The sequence below is a fragment of the Homo sapiens genome, chromosome 9 (assembly GCF_000001405.40).
Source record: "Homo sapiens chromosome 9, GRCh38.p14 Primary Assembly".
Classification (NCBI taxonomy): Eukaryota; Metazoa; Chordata; class Mammalia; order Primates; family Hominidae; genus Homo; species Homo sapiens.
In genome coordinates, this window is record NC_000009.12 from 97,992,461 (window position 1) to 98,017,094 (window position 24,634).

General features: G+C 41.3%; 1 protein-coding gene across 1 annotated transcript in view, besides 1 other annotated feature; it reads left to right on the forward strand.

Moving 5' to 3' along the window:
* The window catches only part of ANP32B (acidic nuclear phosphoprotein 32 family member B), a 32,603-nt gene extending 9,120 nt beyond the window's left edge, over positions 1 to 23,483 (forward strand). The window contains exons 2-7 of the mRNA NM_006401.3: positions 2,171 to 2,320; positions 6,096 to 6,218; positions 12,504 to 12,693; positions 18,811 to 18,929; positions 19,961 to 20,012; positions 22,904 to 23,483. Of these exons, the coding sequence (NP_006392.1) occupies positions 2,171 to 2,320; positions 6,096 to 6,218; positions 12,504 to 12,693; positions 18,811 to 18,929; positions 19,961 to 20,012; positions 22,904 to 22,971 (702 nt within the window). The 3' untranslated portion in view covers positions 22,972 to 23,483. The remainder of the gene's footprint in view (positions 1 to 2,170; positions 2,321 to 6,095; positions 6,219 to 12,503; positions 12,694 to 18,810; positions 18,930 to 19,960; positions 20,013 to 22,903) is intronic.
* Positions 18,349 to 18,418: an enhancer, noted in NCBI's record as "active region_28680". NCBI's record gives its function as "activates an Ori minimal core promoter by ATAC-STARR-seq in GM12878 lymphoblastoid cells {active_cell/tissue: GM12878}" and the evidence as "EXISTENCE:reporter gene assay evidence [ECO:0000049][PMID:35858748]".
* Positions 23,484 to 24,634: the final 1,151 nt, after the last annotated feature.

The following is a 24,634-nucleotide window of genomic DNA, read 5'->3' on the forward strand; positions in this document are numbered from 1 at the left end:
GGAATTTTGCAAGTTGAAAGAAATGTCTTTAAGAGGTGATTTCACTCTGTGAGCTGAGAGGCAGTGTGGCTAACTCTTAATTCTTCTTCACTTCACTTTTGGCATATTGGTGTATTTTGTATAACGTTTTTGGATTATTTTGGATAAAATTATAGAAACTCTCCCAAGCTAAATGGGAACATTTTAATTGTATTGCAGTATACTGTTTACATTGGTGGGTGATGACAGTCGACCTTTTTAAAATTTTAATGGTTCGTTGGTTTTATGTTTAGTTGCTTTTTAATACAGAATAAATACATGGTTGTAAAAAACTTAGTACAGATATAAGTAAAGTAAACAGCAAAGGTCACTGACATTTCCCATTCCCTTTACCCAGAGGTTACTTTCTGGGCATTTATAATGTTCCAAGCCCTAGTCTCTACAACTTCATGAGGTAGGTACTATTATCTCCACTTTATGGGAAACTGAGGCACAGAGAAGTTAAGTGACTCGCACAAGGTCGCACAAGTTCTGAGTGGCAGAGGTGAACCAGGATTCAACCCCCGGCATATGTCTCCAGAGCCCAGCTTTTGTCAGAGTTGACCTATTAAGTTTTCAGATGTGCCCATTTCTTATCAGAAAAGGGAAGAATGGCAGAGATACCTAAAGAAAAGTGGAAGGAAGGAAGAAGTAAGTGGATGTAAAGAGTAAAAAGGATGCCTGGCTTCTGAAGAGGAAGTAGACAGGGTAGTGAGAAGCGGTTAGGCACTTACTATGTTGTGGGCATTGCTGACTTGAAATCTGTTTCCTTCTCTGTAAATGGGGGAAGGAGAGTGGTGGTAAAAAGAATAAATGATTAAGTACTCTATAATTGATAGCAATTACTAGAGTAGCATCATTGGATTTTGTATGAGAGGATGAGGACACTGTTAATAGCTCCTCTTCTCTTTTCAGACTGTCAGCATCTCCCTACTGTATACATGCTTGATTAATGCTATTAAATATGGTAGGTTCACTAAAAGAATGCCTTTGTTGGTGCAGTTAAAATGGTAATTTGCATCACTGTGAGTAGATCAAAGTGAGCTAAAAAGTTGCAAGTTTCAGGATGATCATAGAGCAAGAATGGCAATATGGATTATTGTGGTGGATCTGCATGTAGACTATTAAATAATCAATATTCAAAAGTTCAAATCATCAGATGTGATACTGTTTTTGAGATGGAGTCTCACTCTGTTGCCCAGGCTGGAGTGCAATGGCGAAATCTCGGCTAACTGCCACCTCCACCTCCCAGGTTCAAGCGACTCTCCAGCCTTAGCCTCCCAAGTAGCTGGGATTACAGGCACTCGCCATCTTGCCTGGCTAATTTTTGTATTTTTGTAGAGGGGGTTTCACCTTGTTGGCCAGACTGGTCTTGAACCCCAGACCTCAGGTGATCTGCCCACTTCAGCCTCCCAAAGTGCTGGGATTACAGGCGTCAGCCACTGCGCCCGGCCAGATGTGATACTCTTGGATGGACTTAAATTCTGAAAAAGAGACTGTGTAGCCTGAAAATGCAATTTAATTTATTATGTAGCAGTTCTCTGCTAGAAACATCTTTCTCAAGTGCAATCCAGATTGATCTTTGTTTTGAATTAAGGACTCTTGCATCCTGATTTTTTTTCCCAGTGTCAAGATAATCTTGGCAAAGATTACTAAAACCAGAGTTGGAAAGTGCGTTGGTGCAGAAACCTCTAGCCAGAATCTCTTAGTGGTCTTGATAGGAAACATAAAGCTTTCCTCTTTTCCAGGGGTCATCTTCTGGGCCTTAAGGTAGACCCAGCCTAAAGAGTGTCTTCATTCTGCATTTGCATTTAGATAAAAGCTGCCCTTTGGGGAACAGGCTGGAGAAAAGAAATAAGGGGAATACGCTTACTTCACTTATATCTTAAAAAGTATAGTTTCTGTTTCTGGAAAAACAAAGAGCGTAAGTGTTTATACCCATGGAATAATATTCCATCTTTGAACCTGTCAGTATATTGTTACTGAAGGCTTAATCAGTTTTTATCTTTTTATAACTATGATCTAGGTCTAAGTAAGAGGCTGCCTGTATATATGGGTGTTTTTGCAGGATATTTATGGTAGAAGTTTCTGCATTGTTGTTTGTTTTCAATGTGTTTTTGAGAGCTTATCCTTTTTTCTTTGTCATCCACAGGTTCGAGAACTTGTCTTGGACAATTGCAAATCAAATGATGGAAAAATTGAGGGCTTAACAGCTGAATTTGTGAACTTAGAGTTCCTCAGTTTAATAAATGTAGGCTTGATCTCAGTTTCAAATCTCCCCAAGCTGCCTAAATTGAAAAAGGTAAGTGCTTTTTCTTTAACAGTAAAAGAGAACGATCCTGGGAAGGGAAAATGTATGATTTTACCTGTAAGGAAGCACTTAGTGTAGCAGAAAGCACATGGCCTTTGGAACTGGGCAGATATGGGATTGAATTCTAGCCCTAGCATTTCCTTGATGGGCAAACTTCTGCAGGTTACTTAATCTCTCTAAGGCCCAATTTCCTCACCTGTAAACTGGTGGTATTACTTGACCTTGCAGAATTGCTGTGAAGTTTGGAAATAATGCATGTTGGGTGCTCAATAAGTAGTAGTTAGGAAGAATAATTACTGTGTTGAGTAATTTATTTGTTAATTGTTATAAAAACAATTCTCTATCCTTTCGGAAAAAGGGACCAAATGCAACATAAAAATGTTTTCTCTTGTCACTGCACATTTAACTGTCACAGAGTCCCAGAATGTCAGAACTGGAAGAAACTTTGCTCCTCTAACCCAACCCCTTATTTTATAGGCACAGCAATAGTCCCAGGAAAGTGTAGTAATTTGCCTAAAGCCACCCACAGAAGTGGTTAGTACTAGAGCCAAAACTAGAACCCGTATCTCCTAACCCCATACCCTTCCCATTATATAGGAAAAGATATGTGGTTATATAAGTCTTGCAGAATTCTCTGCCATTTCAATATTCGCTTTACTAGGAAAGTTAAGTTGTACCTTTATTTAAACTAAGGCACACGTAGAAGGAAACTAATCAAACTTGGGCAAAGGTAGGTTGTGCCTAGAGCTTGCTTGAGTTCTGAGTGGGACAGTTAGTTTTTTGGTATTGGGGTTTGTTTGTTTGTTTGTGGTTTTACAGCAGGTGGAGTGGGTTAAGTATAATACATGAGGCCAGTCATGGTGGCTCACGTCTGTAATCCCAACACTTTGGGAGGCCAAGGTGGGAGGATCACGTGAGGTCAGGAGTTCGAGACCAGCCTGGCCAACATGGCAAAACCCCATCTCTACTAAAAATACAAAAAAATCAGCTGGGCACGGTGGCACGCACCTGTAGTCCCAGCTAGTCCGGAGGCTGAGGCACAAGAATTGCTTGAACCCAGGCGGTGGCTGAGGTTGTAGTGAGCCAAAATCACACCGCTGCATTCCAGCCTGGGCGACAGAGCAAGACTCTGTCTCGATTTAAAAAAAAAAAAAAAAAAAAAGTATAATACATGAATTAAAAACTGGAAGTATTTTTTGTTTTGCTTTCTTTATTTGCCTTGTTTAGGTAATATTAAATGCTCAAGCAGTCTTCGTGAGTTTCAGGTGACCGTTTCTGATGAGAAAGAAATTTCCCCTTCTAAGTATACTAGAGGTTCAAGTATAATTCTTTTATATTTGCATGGGTTATCAGTGACATTGGAAGCTCTGATTAGCCCAGTTAAACATAGTATAGCTTTTTAGCATCTATTTACATAAACTTGATGCTAGCAGATCCTTAGTGTGTGTTTTGTGTTGTTTTCCTAGCATTCTGATTTATTTTCCCAAATTACTGTTGGTCTCTGTACTCTCAGACTTATTCAGAAATTCAGCCTATCAGTGACCGTTTTTATAGGGACTTTAATAAACCTTTCAGAATTCTGAATAGAGCTTGTTTGAGTTCTGAGAAGGACAGGGTTTTTGTTTTTGTTGGTTTTGGGTGGGAGGGCACGTTAAGTACACAAATTAAAAACTTTTAACATTTAAAACATTAATCACTTCCCTTATAGGGCTAATGAGAGGGAATCATACTTAAAGGCAGGTTGAGTGTACTCATGATTGATAAGAACTTTATTTTCTTCCTATTCCAGAACACAAATTGGTTTTGTTTTGTTTTGTTTTTGAGATGGAGTTTAACTCTTGTTGCCCAGGTTGGAGTGCAGTGGTGCCATCTCGGCTCACTGCAACCTCCGCCTCCCAGGTTCAAGCGATTCTCCTGCCACAGCCTCCTGAGTAGCTGGGATTACAGACATGCACCACCACGCCTGGCTACTTTTTGTATTTTTTTTTTTGTAGAGATGGGGGTTTCACCATATTGGTCAGGCTGGTTTCGAACTCCTGACCTCAGGTGATCAGCCCACCTCGGCCTCTCAAAGTACTGGGATTACAGGTGTGAGCCACCGTGCCCGGCCCACAAATTGTTTTTAACAAGAAATAAGTACTGAAAAAAAATTGATGTGTAAATGTCACAAATTTTCTAAATTTACACATCTATTTCATTTCAAAATAAATATGCTAATAAATGTTTTGGTAGACTGCCTTGTTTTGGTAGATTGCCTTGTTATTCCTACTCCCTAAGATACACATGTTGAAAGGATGTGGATGTTACATGTGTATGTGATATTCTAACCACAGGGTCTAAAACATGGGTTAAGAAAAGTTATCTCTGTTTTTATTTTGATTTACTAAAATCACCAATAAAGCTAACACTTGACTCTATTGATTATGGGCTTATGTTTTTAAACCTAGACCATGACTATTTCACTGAAATATCCCATTGAAAGGAAAAAATGTTTTGAAATGTTACATTTTCTTCTTCTGAAATATTTAATAACACCTTAAGCAGCTGACCTGTTTTTTTAACTGTTTTTCAGCAGATATTTACATTTTTAAAAGTTACTCTACTCTGCATCATATAGTACATTTCATTGCATGGCAAAAACTTCATTACATGAAGCTTTCATGCTATTCTAGGTACGTAGCATAATAATGAGGACATGGATATTTATGAAGCCAGCCTGCCTGGCTTCAAATCATAGGCCCACTACAGTAACAGCTGGGCGATGTTGGGCAAGTTTATTTTCCTCATCTGTAAACAGGAGTGGTAATTCTGCCTACCCCATAGAGTTCTTGTGAGATCAGATGAGTTAAGGTATTTCTAGTGCTTTGAGCAGTGCCTGGCATTTAAATACTATGTAAGGGTTAAAGTTACTATTGTTGTTGGCACTTTAAAATAGAGAATCAGAACCAGCTGTGTAGCTGAGTTTTCTTGTTTGCAAAAGGAAGAGCTTGAATTAGATGTTCTTCACAATGCTTTCCAGGCTCCAATTCCTTCTACTCTAAGATTCTAATATTCCTTGGTGAAGGCTCATTCCCTCATTGGCACATTACTTGCCTGTGCTACTTGACCTGCAGCTTAGAAATTAGAGTAGGTTCTAATAAAGGCTAGTGCCAGGTTTATGCAAGATGTGGCCTCCAGGGAGCTGGTTTCATAAACCTGAGGCTGTTGACCTACTCCCTTTCCTGAGGTTATGAAGCTTCTTTATGGGCTTACTTGTAGGGCCCGTTCCTCTCTTGTAGCTTTCAGAGCAACATTCCCTGGTGGCTTCCAGGTGTAGAACTCTACAGTGTATGTCAGTATTGTCCAGAAATTAGGTTTCAAGTGGGCATTGCAAGCTTTGAAGGCACACAAAATATGCTGCTCAGAATGCACAGACTATTAAACCATTTACCCTTTCTGGCAGGTATAGGGTATTACAACTTGTCAAAGGATTCTAATTGGTTTTGACCCACTTTTTAAGTTAGAAAATTTATTTGCTGATGTTAGAGACCAGTTCTTGAGTAAGCTGTTATTAGCAGCTGATTAGGAAAACACAATACTTCTGACCTTACCTTCTCCTGTTAATTATTTGGATTTAAACAAAATGAACATGCATGCCCTAATAGAAATAGGGATCATTTGATCTTGATAAATCTTTGAGAACTGTATTTGTTACTTACAATACCTTAAATGATTTCTGTTTCTCTGTGTGTATTTGTGTTTGTGTTGTGTCCATTTTCTCTTGCAGCTTGAACTCAGTGAAAATAGAATCTTTGGAGGTCTGGACATGTTAGCTGAAAAACTTCCAAATCTCACACATCTAAACTTAAGTGGAAATAAACTGAAAGATATCAGCACCTTGGAACCTTTGGTAAGTAACTGAGAATTTGGAAACTGGAACTTACTGGTCATTTTCATTTTCATATTTCTTTATAGTGGGGGAAATTACTGGCAATAATAATTGGTTGAGAAAGTGGTGGCTTTTTTTTTTTTTTTTTTTTTTTTTTTTTTTTTTTTTGAGACGGAGTCTCGCTCTGTCGCCCAGGCTGGAGTGCAGTGGCGGGATCTCGGCTCACTGCAAGCTCCGCCTCCCGGGTTCACGCCATTCTCCTGCCTCAGCCTCCCAAGTAGCTGGGACTACAGGCGCCCGCCACTACGCCCGGCTAATTTTTTGTATTTTTAGTAGAGACGGGGTTTCACCTTGTTAGCCAGGATGGTCTCGATCTCCTGACCTCGTGATCCGCCCGCCTCGGCCTCCCAAAGTGCTGGGATTACAGGCGTGAGCCACCGCGCCCGGCCGAAAGTGGTGGCTTTTTACTTTTTATGTAAGTCCCAATTTTAAAGATCAGGGCCTCTCTAATTAGATGTATTTCTGTGGCTTTGCTCTCTCCCTGCCTGATATTGTGGTGGCATCCTTCAGAAGAGAATTTTTGGGGGTATTTTGTTTTGGATCCACTTTTGAAATTCATGTATTGACTATATAGCCTTAAACATGTTCTTAACAATTTTTTTCTTCAGACTGGCCAAGCCATTATGTACTTTTACACTTTAACAGAAAAGGCTATTTATGTTGTGTGGCATACCTGAATTGTAGATGGAACAAAGACAGCTCTATTTTAAGCTTTGGGTCGTGTAATTCATGATCTTGTGTTCTAGCTGGATTACAGTTGCCTAGAGTTTTGCATGGAAACGCCAAGATCCTCCTCAGTCTTACATATTGGGATAAGATATGAAAAGCTGAGTTTCAGTGCCACTTGGGTTGTAGACTTGATGTGTGACCTTGGGCAAACTGCTTCTTCTCTCTGGGCCTCAGTTTCCTCACTTATAGCAGGGAGGATAATAATCCCTGCCTTACTTACCTCACTTAGGAGTTCTGAGAATAAGATAATGTACTTACTTTGCTTTGTAAGTTAATGTACTTATTTTGCTTTTTGTCCAGTTTGTGTAAGTTGTAGTGGCCAGAAAAGGGCTTCCAGAGGCAGGACTGGAGGCAGGGGGCTTAATGCAGTTTGTAGGGCAGCCCCACAGGCTGTGCTATTTGGAAGAGGGTTATTTAGCATATAGGAGGTGTCTTTGAGAATCCAGAACAGACACTAGAGGGTAAGACATTTCTTCTCTGTTGTCTCTATTCTGATGTCAGAGTATATTAAAATAAGTGGATTTCACATCACTTGTATAGAATGCTCTGTTGATACTTGAGGGGAAGACAGTTAAATTGTAGCTTCTTTTAATGAAGAGGACTTCCTGTCAAGAGTTAGAAGATCTTTTCCTTCCTAAACAATTATTGAGACTGCTGCAATACAGATTTAATTACCTTTTACTGAATCTCTTTGTGCATGTGTATATGTATTCTTTTAGAGAGGTCTCACTATGTTAGGCCAGGCTGGTCTTGAACTCCTGCCCTCAAGTGATCCTTCCATCTCGACCTCCCAAAGTGTTTGGGACTACAGGCCTGAGCCACCATGTCCGGCTGAGTCTCTTTATTTTTACATTTCTTTAAGTTGTCCATATTTAAGAGCTTATTTCTCATAAATGTGATGCCTCACCAGTGCTCCATGCATTTTGCCCTTTTTCCTATTACAGGTATACCCAGATACTCGGGCTCTTACTAGTTTTATTCGTTTCCTTCAAACCAACCCCCATTTCCAGTATTTAAGCCGACATTTACTGACTTTTGCTGCATCCAAGGACATGAACATTTGCCCATTGTATCCTTAAGTAACCCAGAGAAGAGAGAATGACTGTCCTCTTTTTAGAGATGAGGAAGCTGAGTTTAGAGAATGTAGATAATTGCTCAGGAGAAATGGCAGAGTAGGGATTCAAATCTAAGTCTAGGCTGGGCACGGTGGTTCACGCCTGTAATCCCAGCACTTTGGGAGGCCGAGGCGGGCAGATCACTTGAGGTCAGGAGTTTGAGACCAGCCTGGCCAACGTGAAACCCCATCTCTACTAAAAATACAAAAAAGTACCCAGGCGTGGTGGCAGGCGCCTATAATTCCAGCTACTTGGGAGGCTGAGGCAGGAGAATCACTTGAACCCAGGAGGCGAAGGTTGCAGTGAGCTGAGATCATGCCTCTGCACTCCAGCCTGGGTGACAGAACAAGACTCCATCTCAAAAAAAAAAAAAAAAAAATTCGAAGTCTGCTGTGTTTTCCATAGCCCTTGGGACCTCTTCTTCTCTTTCCACCTGTAAATTTATTTCATGCCCAAATTTCCTTAAGCTGGGAATTCCAACAGGAGCACCAAATTTTAACTGCTGATGCTTTCCCGTTCACATGGGCTACACTAAGCCTTTGTTTATTGGTTAGTGACAGACATACTAATCCTAGGTTGTGAGCATAAGAAACCCTTCTCCCCGCCACCCCCCTTTTTTTTTCTGGTTTAATTTTTTTTTTTTTTTTTTAGACGGAGTCTCGCTCTGTCACCCAGGCTGGAGTGCAGTGGCGCCATCTCGGCTCATTGCAAGCTCCGCCTTCTGGGTTCACGCCATTCTCCTGCCTCAGCCTCCCAAGTAGCTGGGACTACAGGCACCTGCCACCATGCCTGGCTAAGTTTTTTGTATTTTTAGTAGAGATGGGGTTTCACTGTGTTTGCCAGGATGGTCTCGATCTCCTGAGCTCGTGATCCGCCTGCCTCAGCCTCCCAAAGCGCTGGGATTACAGGCGTGAGCCACCATGCCTGGCCTTCTCTTTTAATTTTTAAAGAACAGAGTAGCAGGCAGTACCTTTTCACTGTTGGCCAGTTGATGACTGGCCATTACCTAGTTCTCGTGGCAGCCTGAATCCTCTGATTATCAGAAGCCTTTTTCAGTGTTGTAGCACACAGCAATGGAGCAGAAGCAAATACTGTGTGGGAGTTGTTTGCTTGAGTTTTTTCCTGATCTGGTCAGTAATGTATGAGAGGACCCTCTGGTGGCTGTGAAAGTCTCAGTCCCCCAGGATAGTGAAGGATAAAAAGTAATCTTCGTTGTGTTCACCATTTTTAGAGGATCTGCTATACCCATACATTTACTGGGTGCTTTATGCATGTTTTATTAGTAATTGTAAAAAAAAAAACCTTCGATACAAAGTGGATAGAAATAGCATGGCCCTTGTTTTATATTGAGGAAGCTAAGGCTTGGGTGAGGCTGAATCCCTTGTCCAGAGTCACACACCCTGTGGCAGAGCCACAGGGCTACACACCAGAGCTATTTCGAAAAGCCTGGGGTCCCGCCATTCTGCTATACTTGGCACTCAGATTCCTGGCGGTGCTAGGTTGGTCTCCTGAAGTTCTAACTTGGAATTAAGTAAATCTGTAGGAGAAGGTGAAGGGGGGAAGAGTTGGGTCCATTTTGACTTCTGGCAGTATTCTTCAGTGGGGAAAAACACCATCCTCATCCTCATTAACCACATACATTTTGAACACCGTCTACTTTGAGCCCAGTTCTTATAGTCAATGCAATGATTGTGAATGCCTCTGCTTGCTACAGGGACATTAATCGAGAGACAAAGAAGGCATCAATTCAAACTTCCTTGGACACCTTTTTTAAGAGACCTGGGCCATCCAAACCATCCCCCAAAGCCCTTCTAAATTCTAAGAAGGCAAGCAAAATTATTGTTAATAAAATGTTTAATGTTTATTATGGCTAGCCTATTAGCTTACATCAAATTTCTGGTATGGTAGAGTTGTAATTTTTTTTAATCAGTATTTACACATTACATTGGGATCCTGAATAATCTGTGTGTAGTGTATTTTGTGCCTATTGGGCCTTAAAGCACAATTTTACTACTTTCAGCAGTTCCAGAGTACTACAGTTATTTGGGATTTTTGTTGTTTTCTTGCTTTCATTTCATTTTTCAAACTACTGATTGGCATGTCCAAATTGTTTGAGAAGGGGTGCTTTGCCAGGAAGTAGCCAAAAATCTCACATAATTGTACAGTTTCAGAAACAGGAGAGCCTTGGAGGCCCTGTGTACTGGAAGAGTCAATGAAACTAGATAGAGAAAGGGCTTTTGGTATTAAAAAGCATTAGATAAATATCAGAGGTTGTATGTGTTTTTGTGCACCTATTTCTAGGAAATAATTCTGAAATATAAATGGCTCATTCCTTTAAGTGGAGAATTTTTAGAGTGAACCTTTTTGGAAAAGCTGCCTAAAGCTGACTCTAGCTGGCATCGAGTCAGCCTTTGTGAAGAGAAAGCCAGTATGCTAGCTAGCCATCTGGGGTGGCATTGCAGCATTTTTTTCCTCTTTGGCAAGAAGTCATACCTGGGCTTCTGGAAGTCAGGGCCTGACTGGAAGGGAAGCTAATCTGAAAATTACATGATACAAAAGCAGCTCTATGACCAGAAGGGCTGGGGACAGCTTTCTTAAAACGTCAAGGAACTGACTATATAAGCACATTGTTTGATCCACAGACTCTTGGATCATTGTACAATTTGTGTTTTGAGGGGTGCAACGTTTTCCTGTTGCTGTAACCCTGCTGTGTGTTCCCTGCATGAATAAAACAAGTGTGGGAGCCTCTTTCTTCATCAAGAAGATGAAGTTCTTCATGTGCAGGGGTCAGTAGCCCTTTTCTCTAAGGGCCAAATAGTAGGTTCATTTGGCTTTGTAGCCTGTTTATATAGTCTCTGTCACAACTAGTCTGCTTGGCCATTTTAGTACATAAGGAGCCATACATAAATAAATGAGTGTGACTGTGTTCCAATGGAGCTTATTTTACAAAAACAAGTGGTGGGCCAGAATTGGCCACTGGACCACCGGTTCCCAACCCCTGCTCTAGAGCCTTGAGGCAGATTTTCACACCATTTTATATCTCCTCAGAACTACATAGATACCTTGAGTTCTGAAAATAAGGTTTTGTTTTGTCTGCATTTCTTCTCAGGTCCTTGTGAGTGTTGTAACAGCTTTCCTAATAAAGCAGCAAAACCTGTTAAGCATCAACATTTATTTTTTTAGAAATTATTTTATGTGGAGGTCCTCTTAAAGTTTGTTTGGGTGTTTTTAGTACTATCTTCTTAGAGAATACCGAAGTTTTTCTCTTGATTCAGAACCATTAAAGGTTGTGTTTATGAAGCTATCCAGATATATGTAGTTATTGCCCCTATTCTGAAAGGCACCAGGCTATGTGCTACTTCACATTGGATTTGCCTTTCATAGGCTGCTCCCTCTTCTATCTACAAGGGTCTGCTGTCACTTCCTGTTGCTGTCTCCTGACTTGCCTATAGTGTAGTACCTCTGCCCTCTCAATCTCTTAATTTACCCTTAATCAAAACTTAATAGACCTGGGATTGAAATACTAGTACACTGATATAATAACAAATGAAGATCTGAGTAAATACATAGACATTTTCCAGTGCACTTTGACTACTCAGAAAACTTGACTTGGGCCAACTTTTTATAGCTTAACTGTTTTTAGATAGATGAAACTGATGGTTCCAAAGAAATGAGGTATTGCAACAAAATTTCAAGGTATGGTAAATAAAATCAGAAGAACTTTACATCATAAAAGTCTGGTAACATGTCAGTCTTTTCCCCAAATACTAAAAAAGAAGAGTGCAATGTTTCTCCGTATTTCCGAAGTTTCAACTCTGCGCCCCTCTGCTTTTTCCTCAGCCCATATTGACTCCTGTCTTCCCTGAAAGTAGCTGCATTGCCACACTTTATATTTTATTATATTTCATCCTCTAGTGTTTCATGTCTGTGCCCTAACTAAAATTGTAAGCACCCTAAGATTGTGTTATAAATCTCTGAATTTTTCCCTATACTGCCACCCTAGAACATTAAAGACCGCTTGATACCCAGGAAGTTCTTAATGGCCATTTGATTACTCAAATGTTAACATTTGTTTCAGCTAAATTTATTAAACTGTTTGATTGTCTCATACTGTGAAAATACCTGGATTTAATAAAAATTATTTTCAATTTATATTTCTTTAGACTACTATGCTGCCAGAAAAACACATAGTTCTCTGGGAGAGTAGATAAAGGAAGAGAGGGACTAAAGTCTAGTAACCTAATATAAAGGTTGCAAAAGACTTGATGTATTTTTCTATATATGAGGCTGAGTGGGTAGTGGAAATTGAATATAGAGCCTAGAATTTTACCTCTTCAAGAGATGGATTTGTTACTTATATTCCTTTGGTTTAGGAGTTGTGGTTTTTGATCCTTTTCTTCAGAAAAAGTTAGAATGTCTGAAAAGCCTGGACCTCTTTAACTGTGAGGTTACCAACCTGAATGACTACCGAGAGAGTGTCTTCAAGCTCCTGCCCCAGCTTACCTACTTGGATGGCTATGACCGAGAGGACCAGGAAGCACCTGACTCAGATGCCGAGGTGGATGGTGTGGATGAAGAGGAGGAGGACGAAGGTGAGTAGGCTCAGCATCTGGTGAACCTGATGTCTGCCTTTCAAAGCCTCTGATAAAAGCTATTGGATGTTGGCCGGGCGCAGTGGCACACAACCGTAATCCCAGCACTTTGGGTGGCCGAGGCAGGGGGCATTGCTTGAGCCCAGGAGTTTGAGACTAGCCTGGGCAACATGGCAATACCTTGTTTCTACAGAAAATAGAAAAAAAAAAAATTAGCCAGGTGTGGTGGCGCACACCTGGAGTCTTAGCTACTCAGAAGACTGGAGGCCGAGGTGGGAGGATCACTTGAACCTAGGAGTTTGAGGCTACAGTGAGCCATGATTGTTCCCCACTGCACTCCGTCTCAGAAGACAGACAGGGTGTCTCAAAAAAAAAAGCTACTAGATGTTCTTACTATTGAGGAAAATAGTGTGTGTTTGTGTGCGTGCGCACGCGTGTATTTTTTGAATGTAGGCATTCCATTAAATTTATAGCTAAGGCCTATTTCATAAGCACCTGGCCTCAAGGGATCCTCCCACCTCAGCCTCCCCAAGTGGTGGGATTACAGGGATGAGACACTGAACCTGGCCCGGGAAGCATTTCCTGAAGTCTACAAGCTAAGTTAGGATGCTGTGCGTTTAAACTGTAAACCGCTTGCTCTTACAGGCTTGCCACTCTGCTGTTCTTAAGTCTTCCTACTTCAGGGGTCTTCAACCCACAGGCCACAGACTGGTACTACTCCATGACCTGTTAGAAACCAGGCCGCATGAGCAGTGAGGAAGCCTCATCTGTATTTACAGCCACTCCCCATTGCTCACATTACTGTCTGGGCTCCACCTCCTGTCAGATCAATGGTGGTATTAGATTCTCATAGGAACGAGAATCCTATTGTGAACTGCACATGTGAGGGGGCTAGGTTGTGTGCTCCTTAGAAGAATCTAATGCCTGATGATCCGAGGTGGAGCTGAGGTGGTGATGCTAGAGCTGAGGTGGTGATGCTAGCACTGGGGAGTGGCTGCAAATACAGATTAACATTAGCAAAGAGGTTTGACTTTACAGAGATGATAATAAATCAATTGCTTGCAGACTCATCAACCCCTATCTGTGAGTGGCAAGTGACAAGCTGCATCTGGTGGCAGGCTTTATAGTGGCAAGTGAGTTGGTGTACTTCAGTTGTACAGCTGTATCTGGTGACAGGCTTTAAGTCAGAATCTGATGCTTTTTTTAGTCAGTGCATGGCCTGCCCATTTTTTTATTTACCACTTCCATCCACACCTCTTTCCCGCACTGCGTATTTGTCTCAGTCACAGTTTTGTTAGGCCCACAAGCTAACTATCCAACATGAGTAAAAAACGTCGCTGGAGAGCTTCTTTGAGAAGGGGGAAAGACCCAATAATGAGACAGCAGAAGACAAGACTGCCAATGAAAAGAAAGCTTCATTGAAAAGAAAATACCAAGAGTGCTACTTAAATTACAGGTTCATTGCAACAGATGATTCACATTCTCCAAGCCCACTTTGTATAATATGTGGCAACAAGCTATCCAACAAAGCCATGAAACCTTCAAAACCACTTCACTGGCTGGGCACAGTGGCTCATGCCTGTAATCCCAGCACTTACAGAGGCCGAGGTAGATCACCTGAGGTCAGGAGTTCAAGACCAGCCTGGCCAACATGGGGAAACCCTGGCTCTGCAAAAATACAAAAATTAACCAGGCATGGTGGTGCACACCTTTAGTCCCAGCTTCTCGGGAGGCTGAGGCATGAGAATTGCTTGAACCTGGGAGGCGGAGGTTGCAGTGAGCCGAGATTGTGCCGCTGTGCTTTAGCCTGGGCGATAGAGCAAGACTCCATCTCAAAAAACAAACAAACAAAAAAAAAACTGCTTCACCACTTGGAGACCAAGCACCCTGCGTTTAAAAGACAAGCCTTTGGAGTTTTTCAAAAGAAATAAACATGAACGTGAAAAACAGAGGCAATTATTGAAAGCTCCCACTTCATCAAATGTGACTGCACTGAGAACATCTCATTCTTAGTGGCTAACTGCATTGCTAAAGCTAAGAAGCCCTTAACTAACTGCATTGCTAAAGTAAGAAGCCCTTTACTATTGAAGAGTTGATCCTGCCTGCTGCTAAGGACATTTGTCATGAACTTTTAGGAGAGGCTGCAGTTAAGCTGCAGTTCAAAAGGTGGCACATGTTCCTCTTTGAGCTAGCACCATAACTAGATGAATTGATGACATAGTAGAGGATATTGAGGCATAGTTGTTAGAGAGGATTGATGAGTCACCGTGGTACACATTGCAGGTTGACAAGTCTGCCGATGTTGACAACATGGCAACAATGCTTGTTTTTGTGCAATATATTTTCAGGAGGATGTGCATGAGACTATGTTATGTGTACTTCGTTGCCAACCAGCACCACAGCTGCAGAACTATTCAAGTCTTTTGAACGATTACATATCAGGAAAACTGAATTGGTCATTTTGTGTCGTATATGCACAGATGGAGCGGCTGCCATGGCTGGACGGCTTTCTGGTTTCACTACTCGAGTCAGAGAGGTCGCTTCTGGATGTGAGTCTATGCACTGTGTCATCCATAGAGAAATGCTGGCTAGCTGACAAATGTCACCTGAACTTAACGTTTTGCAGGATGTGATTAAAATTAACCACATTAAAGTACATGCCCTTAACCCATGTCTGTTCACGCAGTTCTGTGAGATGGATGCAGAGAATACTTCTCTTACACAGAGAAGCGAGATGGCGTTCTAAAGGTGGATCACTGGCCAGAGTTTTTGAGTTAAGAGGCCTGCTCCAGAGATTTCTCTAAGAATAACAGTCACCACTAGCAGAACATTTTAGTAACACAGAATGAGTGGTAAAACTTTTTTTTTTAAGTTCAGGGGTACATGTGCACGTTTGTCGCAGAGATAAACGTGTACCATCCCATCACCTAAGTATTAAGCCCACTGTCCATTAGCTAGTTTTCCTGATGCTCTCCGTCCCCAGCCTCCACAGGCCCCAGTGTGTGTTGTTCCCCTCCATGTGTCCATGTATACTCATCATTCAGCCCCCACTTACAAGTGAGAACATACGATACTTAGTTTTCTGTTCTGAGCATTGGGATTTTTGACATGTTTCAAACAGTAGGAGTGATTTTTGAAAGAGAGTGAGCCAGGGCCTTCTTTCTCACAGCTGGTGCATGATCACCTATCTCAGCTCTCAAAAGAGTTTGAGCATTACTTCCCAACCACAAAAGACCCCCGAACTGGGAAGGAATGGATCCACAACCCATTTATGAATAAGCCAGGTCAATCGACTTTGTTCATGCTTGAAGAGGATCAACTGGTTGAGATCACAAATGGCAGTGGCCTTAAAAGTATGGTTTGAGACAACTTCAAAATCTCCATATATTCTGGATTAAAGTCGAGGTGGAATATCCTGAGATTGCCAAAAAAGCACTGAAAAACCTGCTTCCATTTCCAATATCCTATCTTTGTGAAGCAAAGTTTTCTGCAGTGACAGCAACCAAAACAAGATTATGGAGTATACTGGACATAAGCAGCACACACTTCGAATGTCACTGTCTCTCATTGCCCCCAGATGGGACTGTCTAGTTGCAGGGAAAACAAGCTCAGGGTTCCCATTGATTCCACATTATGATGAGTTGTATAATTATATCATTATATATTACAATGTAATAATAGAAATAAAGTGCAGAATAAACATAATGCGTTTGAATCATCCTGAAACCATCCCCCCACCCCCAGGCTGTGGAAACATTGTCTTCCACAAAACTGGTCCCTGGTGCCAAAAAGGTTGAGGACCGCTGTCCTACTGCACTACAGTCATCATCTTGGGTAGATACTTATCTCCTGATTCACAGGGCCTGACACTGAGTAGGTACTTGGTACCTGTTTGTTATTGCCAGCTATAAATAAAATAGCTTTCCCTTCCATTGACATATGACCAGAGTTTTAAAAGGTAATGATTTCAAATAACTATATGTTAGATTCCGTTTTTCATTCATAAGGGAAATAATCTCTGATCATAACATAGAATTAAAAGATGATTTTCAGTAGTTTTGGCATTTGACCCAGGATTTATACATATTTTACAGATTTACAGATTTTAAGAAATAACTAATACTTTCTACCCAAGATATTCCTCCTGATTAGTTTGTGTTTTCTTTGCATGCTGAGTTTGTTTATTCTCAGTCACTCTTAGAATAAAACGCTTCTCACGTACAGGTGGCTTAGAGCAGCAGTCTCCAACCTTTTTGGCACCAGGGACTGGTTTCATGGAAGACAGTTTTTCCACAGATGCAGGGAAGGGGTTGGGGGCGGCAGCTGAATGGTTTTGGGATGAAACGGTTCCACCTTAGATCAGGCATTAGATTCTCATAAGGAATGCACAGTCCAGATCCCTCACATGCGCAGTTCACAATAGAATTTGCACTCCTATGAGGATCTAACAGGTGATGTGACAGGAGGCGGAGTTCACGTGGTAATGGTCACTGGCCTGCTCTTCACCACCTGCTGTGCGGCCCAGGCCACAGACCAGTACCAGTCCTGGGAGTTGGGAACCCCTGGTTTGGAGGAAGCAGAATGATTAGTTTTCACATCAGTCAGCATGAGTATTTCTTTTCTTTAAAAATTAGCACATATGACAGAAATTATCAAGAAAATAGAGGAGGAAAAGCATCAAGGAGTTTGGGTGCAGTTAATGGTATAATTCTCTGGAAGCATTTTTACAGTTTTATTTTGAAGCATATTGAGACAGGCAAAAATTAATGAGTTATAAGGTGGTAAAATGGACAGAGAATAGGACATCTCACTTATTTCCAAATGTTATGTCCCTTTGTCCCTTCTACAGTTTTTCCATTTTTCCTAAAAACCATTTGTGCTTGTTGTCTATTTAAGTTCACCTCAAACAGGAAGAACAGCCACATGTGCAAGAGCCAGTAAAGGACATTCCTTGGAAGGTGGGGGGCAGTTCCTGAGAGCAAAGATGGGTCAGCCAACAAATACTTGAGCATTTCCTATGTGCCAGGCACTGCGGAAAATAGTGGTTTAAAAAAAAAAGGAACAAAAAAACAAGGTTCCTACCCTCTTGGACCTTACAGAGAAATGGTGTTTTTTTTTTTTTGTTTTTTTTTTTTAAATCATAAATAGGCTAGGTATGGTGGCTCACACTTGTAATCCCAACACTTGGGGAGGGTGAGGCAGGATGATTGCTGGAATCCAGGAGTTCAAGACCAGCCTGGGCAACATAGACAAACCCTATCTGTACAGAAAAAATTGTTTTAAATTAAGAATTCTAAATAATAATTGCAAGTAAGCAAAGTGTGTTGTAATGGAGAAGCACCACATACTCATGGTGAGAGCCTATGACCTGGCATTGGGAGGTCTGGTGAGTAAGACTGCCTAAGGAAGTGATGTTGACTGAGACTCCAAGGTGGAGTCAGAGTTAGCCAAGCAAAGAGGATGGAAAGAGCATGCAGAGACCAGGAGGCAGGTGAGAGCATGGTGTGCTCTAGGACCCAGGAGAAGCAAGAACTGCCGCACTAGAGGTCCGAACAACCAGCTAGAGATGCAGGTGCCTCTCAGCCTCCTGTCCCCTGAGTCACAGGGTTATTATGGGTGTTTCTCAGGTTCCTGATTTGAGCAGCTGACTGTGACTCTGGTAATGATACCCAAGAGAAGGTACATGATTTTTTTTTTTTTAACTTTTTACTGTCAAAAATTTCAGACAGTGACAAAGGGTAAAAATAATAGCAAAATGAACCCCCATGTTCTTATCACTCAGCTTCAGCAATTATTGGTCATAGCTGATCTTATTTTATTCCTGCATACCCTTACCTTCTTCCCCACTCCATATAATTTTGAAGCAAATCTTAGCCATTGTATCATTTCATCAGCGAGAATTATAGTGTTTGTCTTATCTACCAGGACTTCTAGCTCTCTGATTTTATGGGACTCTATCGGACAAAGGGACTGAGCTGTAGCACATAGTAGAAAGAAAGTGACTGCAGTTCGTGGCCTTACAGCATTTGTTCTGTGAGCCAGCCCACAGATCCTCAACACTTTGTCCCCTGTGGAGCGTCGAGGATATTTAATGAATCCCTTTTGGACTATTTTTAGAAGGAGAAGATGAGGAAGACGAGGACGATGAGGATGGTGAAGAAGAGGAGTTTGATGAAGAAGATGATGAAGATGAAGATGTAGAAGGGGATGAGGACGACGATGAAGTCAGTGAGGAGGTCAGTGCAGCTGTTTTCTACCCTGCTTCCTATTTGTAATTACAACAAAAGTGGGGGTTTCAAAAAGATGACAAAAGAAAAGAAAAAACACCTTTTGAAGAAATTAGTATACCTGTGAATACATTTACAATATGAATCTGGTTAATTTAGTGTTTGTCTGGCTTTAAATAACTACTAAATAGAATGCCTACTGAACTCAAACTAGTACGGTTCCTGGCTGTGCAAGGTAAGTTCTGGCCCTCTGGGGGAAGGAATGAATTGAGTATTCAGTGTGGTGAGAAAACTGGACATGTTGAGAATTGATGGTATGTCTGTTCCTTCATTGAATTGTAGGGAAGTTTATGTTTACCAAGTCTAAACTTTTTCTTGTATATTCAGTGTAATTCAGTAAATATATATCTGCTATGTTAAAGAGTTGGGAGTACAAAATGAAATGAGATTGTGGTCCTGCCCTGAAAGAGCACAGTCTGGTTTATGAAATACCCAATAATAGAGGATCCCTGAGGAAATAAATGCTATACGAGGGCAGGAGAAAACAGTGTCTTGACTTTGACCCTCAAAGAGGTTTGGGAAACAGGCAGACAACATTAGTTGTTAACAAAACGCATCCTCTTTTGTAGTATAAAAATAAGGCTTGGGGTTTGTGTGATGTCATTAGGTGTATGATTGACATTAAAGTTCTGAAAGAAGCTTTGTATATGAATGGGATATAGAAATTTTTGTCTAAATCTGTTTTGAAATTTGAGATTTTAAGATGTTTTCTTGAATTATCCAGAGTTATATACTAATTAAACATCTAGCAAATGAACTGCTTGCTTCTAAAAAAAATTTTTCTTAGAAAAATTATAAAGCTCGTTAAGGAAAATCAGTGGGTCTTGGTACATCAAAGTAGATAAAAATAACATTACAGTTTCCTGCTTGATTGATATTGTTGCATTTATTTGTACTTCTTAGTTTGGCAGAATTTGTACTATATGCACTTTTCAATTTGGCAGAATTAATTTAATGTTATGCTGTTTGCTATTCTTTAGGAAGAAGAATTTGGACTTGATGAAGAAGATGAAGATGAGGATGAGGATGAAGGTGGGCCTAATGCATGCATTTTGATCATTCTCAGTTAAAAATTAGAGAAAAACATCCATTATTTAGAATATGATACCACTGAGAAGAAAATAAAATACTCTTGGCTCTGGTGGTTTACACATTCACATTCTCGTTTCTATCGTCCCATCAGTGTGTCTGTGCTGGTGCAGGCTCCCTGCTGCTACAGCAGTTATTCCTGTCTCATGGCAAGGGTCCTGTTGGTCTTCAGTCCTCATGGGGTTTTTTTCGGGGTGGTGGTGGTGGTGGTGGTGTTTTGAGACGGAATCTCGCTCTGTTGCCCAGGCTGGAGTGCAGTGGCACGATCTCGGCTCACTGCAAGTTCCGCCTCCTAGGTTCAAGCCATTCTCCTGCCTCAGCCTCCAGAGTAGCTGGGGCTACAGGCGCCTGCCACCACGCCCAGCTAATTGTTTGCATTTTTAGTAGAGACGGGGTTTCACCGTGTTAGCCAGGATGGTCTCAATCTCCTGACCTCGTGGTCCACCCGCCTCAGCCTCCCAAAGTGCCGGGATTACAGGCGTGAGCCACCACACCCGGCCTGTTGTTTTCTTGAGATGGAGTCTTGCTCTGTCGCCCAGTCTGGAGTTCACTGGTGCAATCTAAGCTCACTGCAGCCTCCACCTCCCAGGTTCAAGGGATTCTCTGCCTCAGCCTCCTCAGTAGCTGGGATTACAGGCATGCACCACCACACTTGGCTAATTTTTGTATTTTTAGTAGAGACAGGGTTTTGCCATGTTGGCCAGCCTGGTCTTGAATTCCTGGCTGAATTCAAGTGATCCACCCACCTCGGCCTCCCAAATTACTCGGATTACAGGTGTGAGCCACCATGCCTAGCCTGTTCCCCATGTTTTAAATGTGTTTTTAGGACCAGTCATTTGGTTTACTGTCAAGTGTGAGTTTCTGTGTTTGGAGTTCTTTCATTTTTTAAAAAAAGGCTTTAATAATTGAACCATCATTTTCAGGATATATAAATAGATGTAGCAGTTTCCCAGTTTTGTCAGTGTTAGTCCTTTCCCCACTACAACCAAGACAAATGAAATAGCTGTTACTTATTTAATACTGTTGAAAGTATGCCAGCCTGGACAACATAGACCCTGTCTGTACAGAAAATTAAAAAGTTAGCTGGGACCGGGTGTGGTGACTCACGCCTGTTATCTCAGCACTTTAGGAGGCCGAGGCAGGTGGATCACCTGAGGTCAGGAGTTCGAGAGCAGCCTGGCCAACATGGTAAAATCCTGTCTCTACTAAAAATTAAAAAATTAGTCAGGCGTGGTGGCACGCACTCAAACCCAGGAGGCAGAGATTCAGTGAGCTGAGGTCATGCCACTGCACTGCAGCCTGGACAACAGAGCAAGACTCTGTCTCAAAAAAAAAAAAAAGTTAGCTGCACATGGTGGTGCACACCTATAGTCCCAGCTACTTGGGAAGCTGAGGTGGGAGGACTGCTTGAAGTTGCAGTGAGGCTATGATAGTGCCACCGCACTCCAGCCTGAGTGACAGAGGGAGACCTTGTCTCAAATAAAAAGTCTCATGGTTGTGTCTCAGAAAATCAGGTGTTCACTGTGCTGTTGGCTGATGTTTTCTCAGCATCCACTTTGTCAAGCTCTCAATTACATTTACACTAGATATTACCCTGGTTAGGACCTGGTCACTGCCTTTAAGAACCTGTATGATTGGGAGGCCGAGGCGGGTGGATCATGAGGTCAGGAGATCGAGACCATCCTGGCTAACACGGTGAAACCCCGTCTCTACTAAAAATACAAAAAAATTAGCCGGGTGTGGTGGCAGGCGCCTGTAGTCCCAGCTACTCGGGAGGCTGAGTCAGGAGAACGGCATGAACCCGGGAGGCGGAGCTTGCAGTGAGCCGAGATCAAGCCACTGCACTCCAGCCTGGGCGACGGAGCCAGAGTCTGTCTCAAAAAAAAAAACAACCTGTATGAAATATGATTTAACATATAGTTAATTTCATTAAAATAACCATGGATTTTATTAGTTGAAAAAATTGGTCTATATGTAAGTCTCTGTGTCTCGACTACATAATACTCTTAAGAATTTCCTTTTTAGTTAATATTAGTTTGCTACAATTTGAGTCTTAATGATGTTCCATACTATGTTTTGTGTGTTATTTAATTCTCAGAATAACCTTTTAAAGTCAGTACCATTGTCCCCATTTTACAGATGAAAAAGGCTTAAAGAGGTTAAGCTTGTCTGAGATCACTTGAAAGTAAGCATGTCTTGAAGACGTGCTAGATAGCACGAGGGGTTTTGTTTTGTTTTTTTGGAGACAGTTTCGCTCTTATCACCCAGGCTGGAGTCCAGTGGCACAATCTCAGCTCACTGCAACCTCCGCCTTCCGGATTCAAGCAATTCTCATGCCTCATCATCCAGAGTAGCTGGGATTACAGGTACATGCCACCATGCCTGGCTCATTTTTGTATTTTTAGTAGAGACGGAGTTTCACCATGTTGGCCAGGGTGGTCTGGAACTCCTGACCTCAGGTGATCTGCCTGCCTTGGCCTCCCAAAGTGCTGGGATTATAGGCATGAGCCAGTGGGCCTGACCAGCTCAGGTTAATAATAAGCACTTTAATAATTGCTAGATTTGTAAAAAGAAACATTTGGAAGACAACACCTTAAAATCGAGGAAACTGGATTAACTTTTCCTGGGTGAGTTGAGGTGCTGCTGTGCATTTTGCTTTTCTTGGTTCTGTGGTCACCACTTATACTTGCTATTAGTCACCTATATTAATCTGATCAAGTTTACATTGTTTTATCTCCTAACTGTCAAAAACTTTGTTGTTGTTGCCTCCATTGGCAATAATCTAAGCAAAATGCCTTTCCACTGTCCTAAAGTCAATTTTTGTTACTGTACAGAGGAGGAAGAAGGTGGGAAAGGTGAAAAGAGGAAGAGAGAAACAGATGATGAAGGAGAAGATGATTAAGACCCCAGATGACCTGCAGAAACAGAACTGTTCAGTATTGGTTGGACTGCTCATGGATTTTGTAGCTGTTTAAAAAAAAAAAAAAGGTAGCTGTGATACAAACCCCAGGACACCCACCCACCCAAAGAGCCAAAGAATAGTTCCTGTGACATTCCGCCTTCCTTCCATGTAGTCCCTCTTGGTAATCTACCACCAAGCTTGTGGACTTCACCCCAACAAAATTGTAAGCGTTGTTAGGTTTTTGTGTAAGATTCTTGCTGTAGCGTGGATAGCTGTGATTGGTGAGTCAACCGTCTGTGGCTACCAGTTACACTGAGATTGTAACAGCATTTTTACTTTCTGTACAACAAAAAAGCTTTGTAAATAAAATCTTAACATTTTGGGTCTGTTTTTTCATGCTTTGCTTTTTAATTATTATTATTATTTTTTTTACATTAGGACATTTTATGTGACAACTGCCAAAAAAGTATTTTTAAGAATTTAAGCGAAATAAACAGTTACTCTTTGGTAAAGCCTAGTTGTATGCTTACATTTTTAAATTATACTCTCATTGTAAGCTCATGTTAAAACACCAAAGAACTGGTTTATTTGGCATTTTTATATTAGTAGTTGTTGAGGGGAATTGCACAAGTGTGTAGGATCTTTGAGCATTTAGATCAAATCCTCATTGATAACTGGGAGTAAATGAAGCATACTTTAAAAAATAACGTTCAAAATGGAATACTCTGGGGCCCTGAAAACCAGTAAAATGTTAGGTTCAAGTATTATGTGAATTAAGGGAAAGAAGATAGTGTAAAGCAAAAGGCCTTCACCAGAATCCCAAGAGATCTGAATTCTAGTTCTGGCTCTGCCACTGATTTTCTGTGTGACCTTGTGTTGACTCTGGGTCACCACCCAGTCTGGAAAATTGAAGGGGTGTGACCAAATGGCTTCTGAAGTCACTTGTAGCACTGATGTTCTGTGACCCTTGCTGACAGGAAGGTCTGAAGAGAAAAATGGGCTTTCCACTAGTCTGAAGCATGTAGGGTTTGACTGATGGGTGAACACAGTATGGTTTGTTGCCAAGACAGGCGTGAAAAGGGGGAATGACATGTGAAAAGCCTCACCAAGCAGTGGGTAGGCACTGCCTGAGGTCAACTCAGGTTTTCCATAAGATGGAAATTTTCTCTATTCTTACAGATCTTAAAGGGATTTGAGAAAGGAGGATATTCTGTCTGTATTCAGTGATTAACCGTTTAGCGAAAATAGATGTATGACTGCATTATCAATACAGTTTTTTATAGTGGAAGATTTAAGGATTGTTTCAGTAAATTTTAGCTTATAGCTGCTGGAATGAGTGAGGTTTTTGATGCATGTAAATGCAATATGTAAAATTGGAATCTAATTTGAATTTATAACAAGTCACAGTCTCTATGGAGCCCCCAAATACTGTACTTTAAAATCAAAATCTCCCATAGACTTTAAAATGGAGTTTCTTTTTTGCAAAGAAAATCCAAGAAAATTTGATTTCTGATTTTACAGGTATTACACATCATTTTCCCCAACCATAAGGCCATTTTGGCAAACCTTCAATACATTGTAAAATGGTTTCTTCTGTAGCCTAAGTGTGTCCTTAAGGTTTTGCTTATTTGTCAAATATCAAACACAGTAACTTTGAGTGATT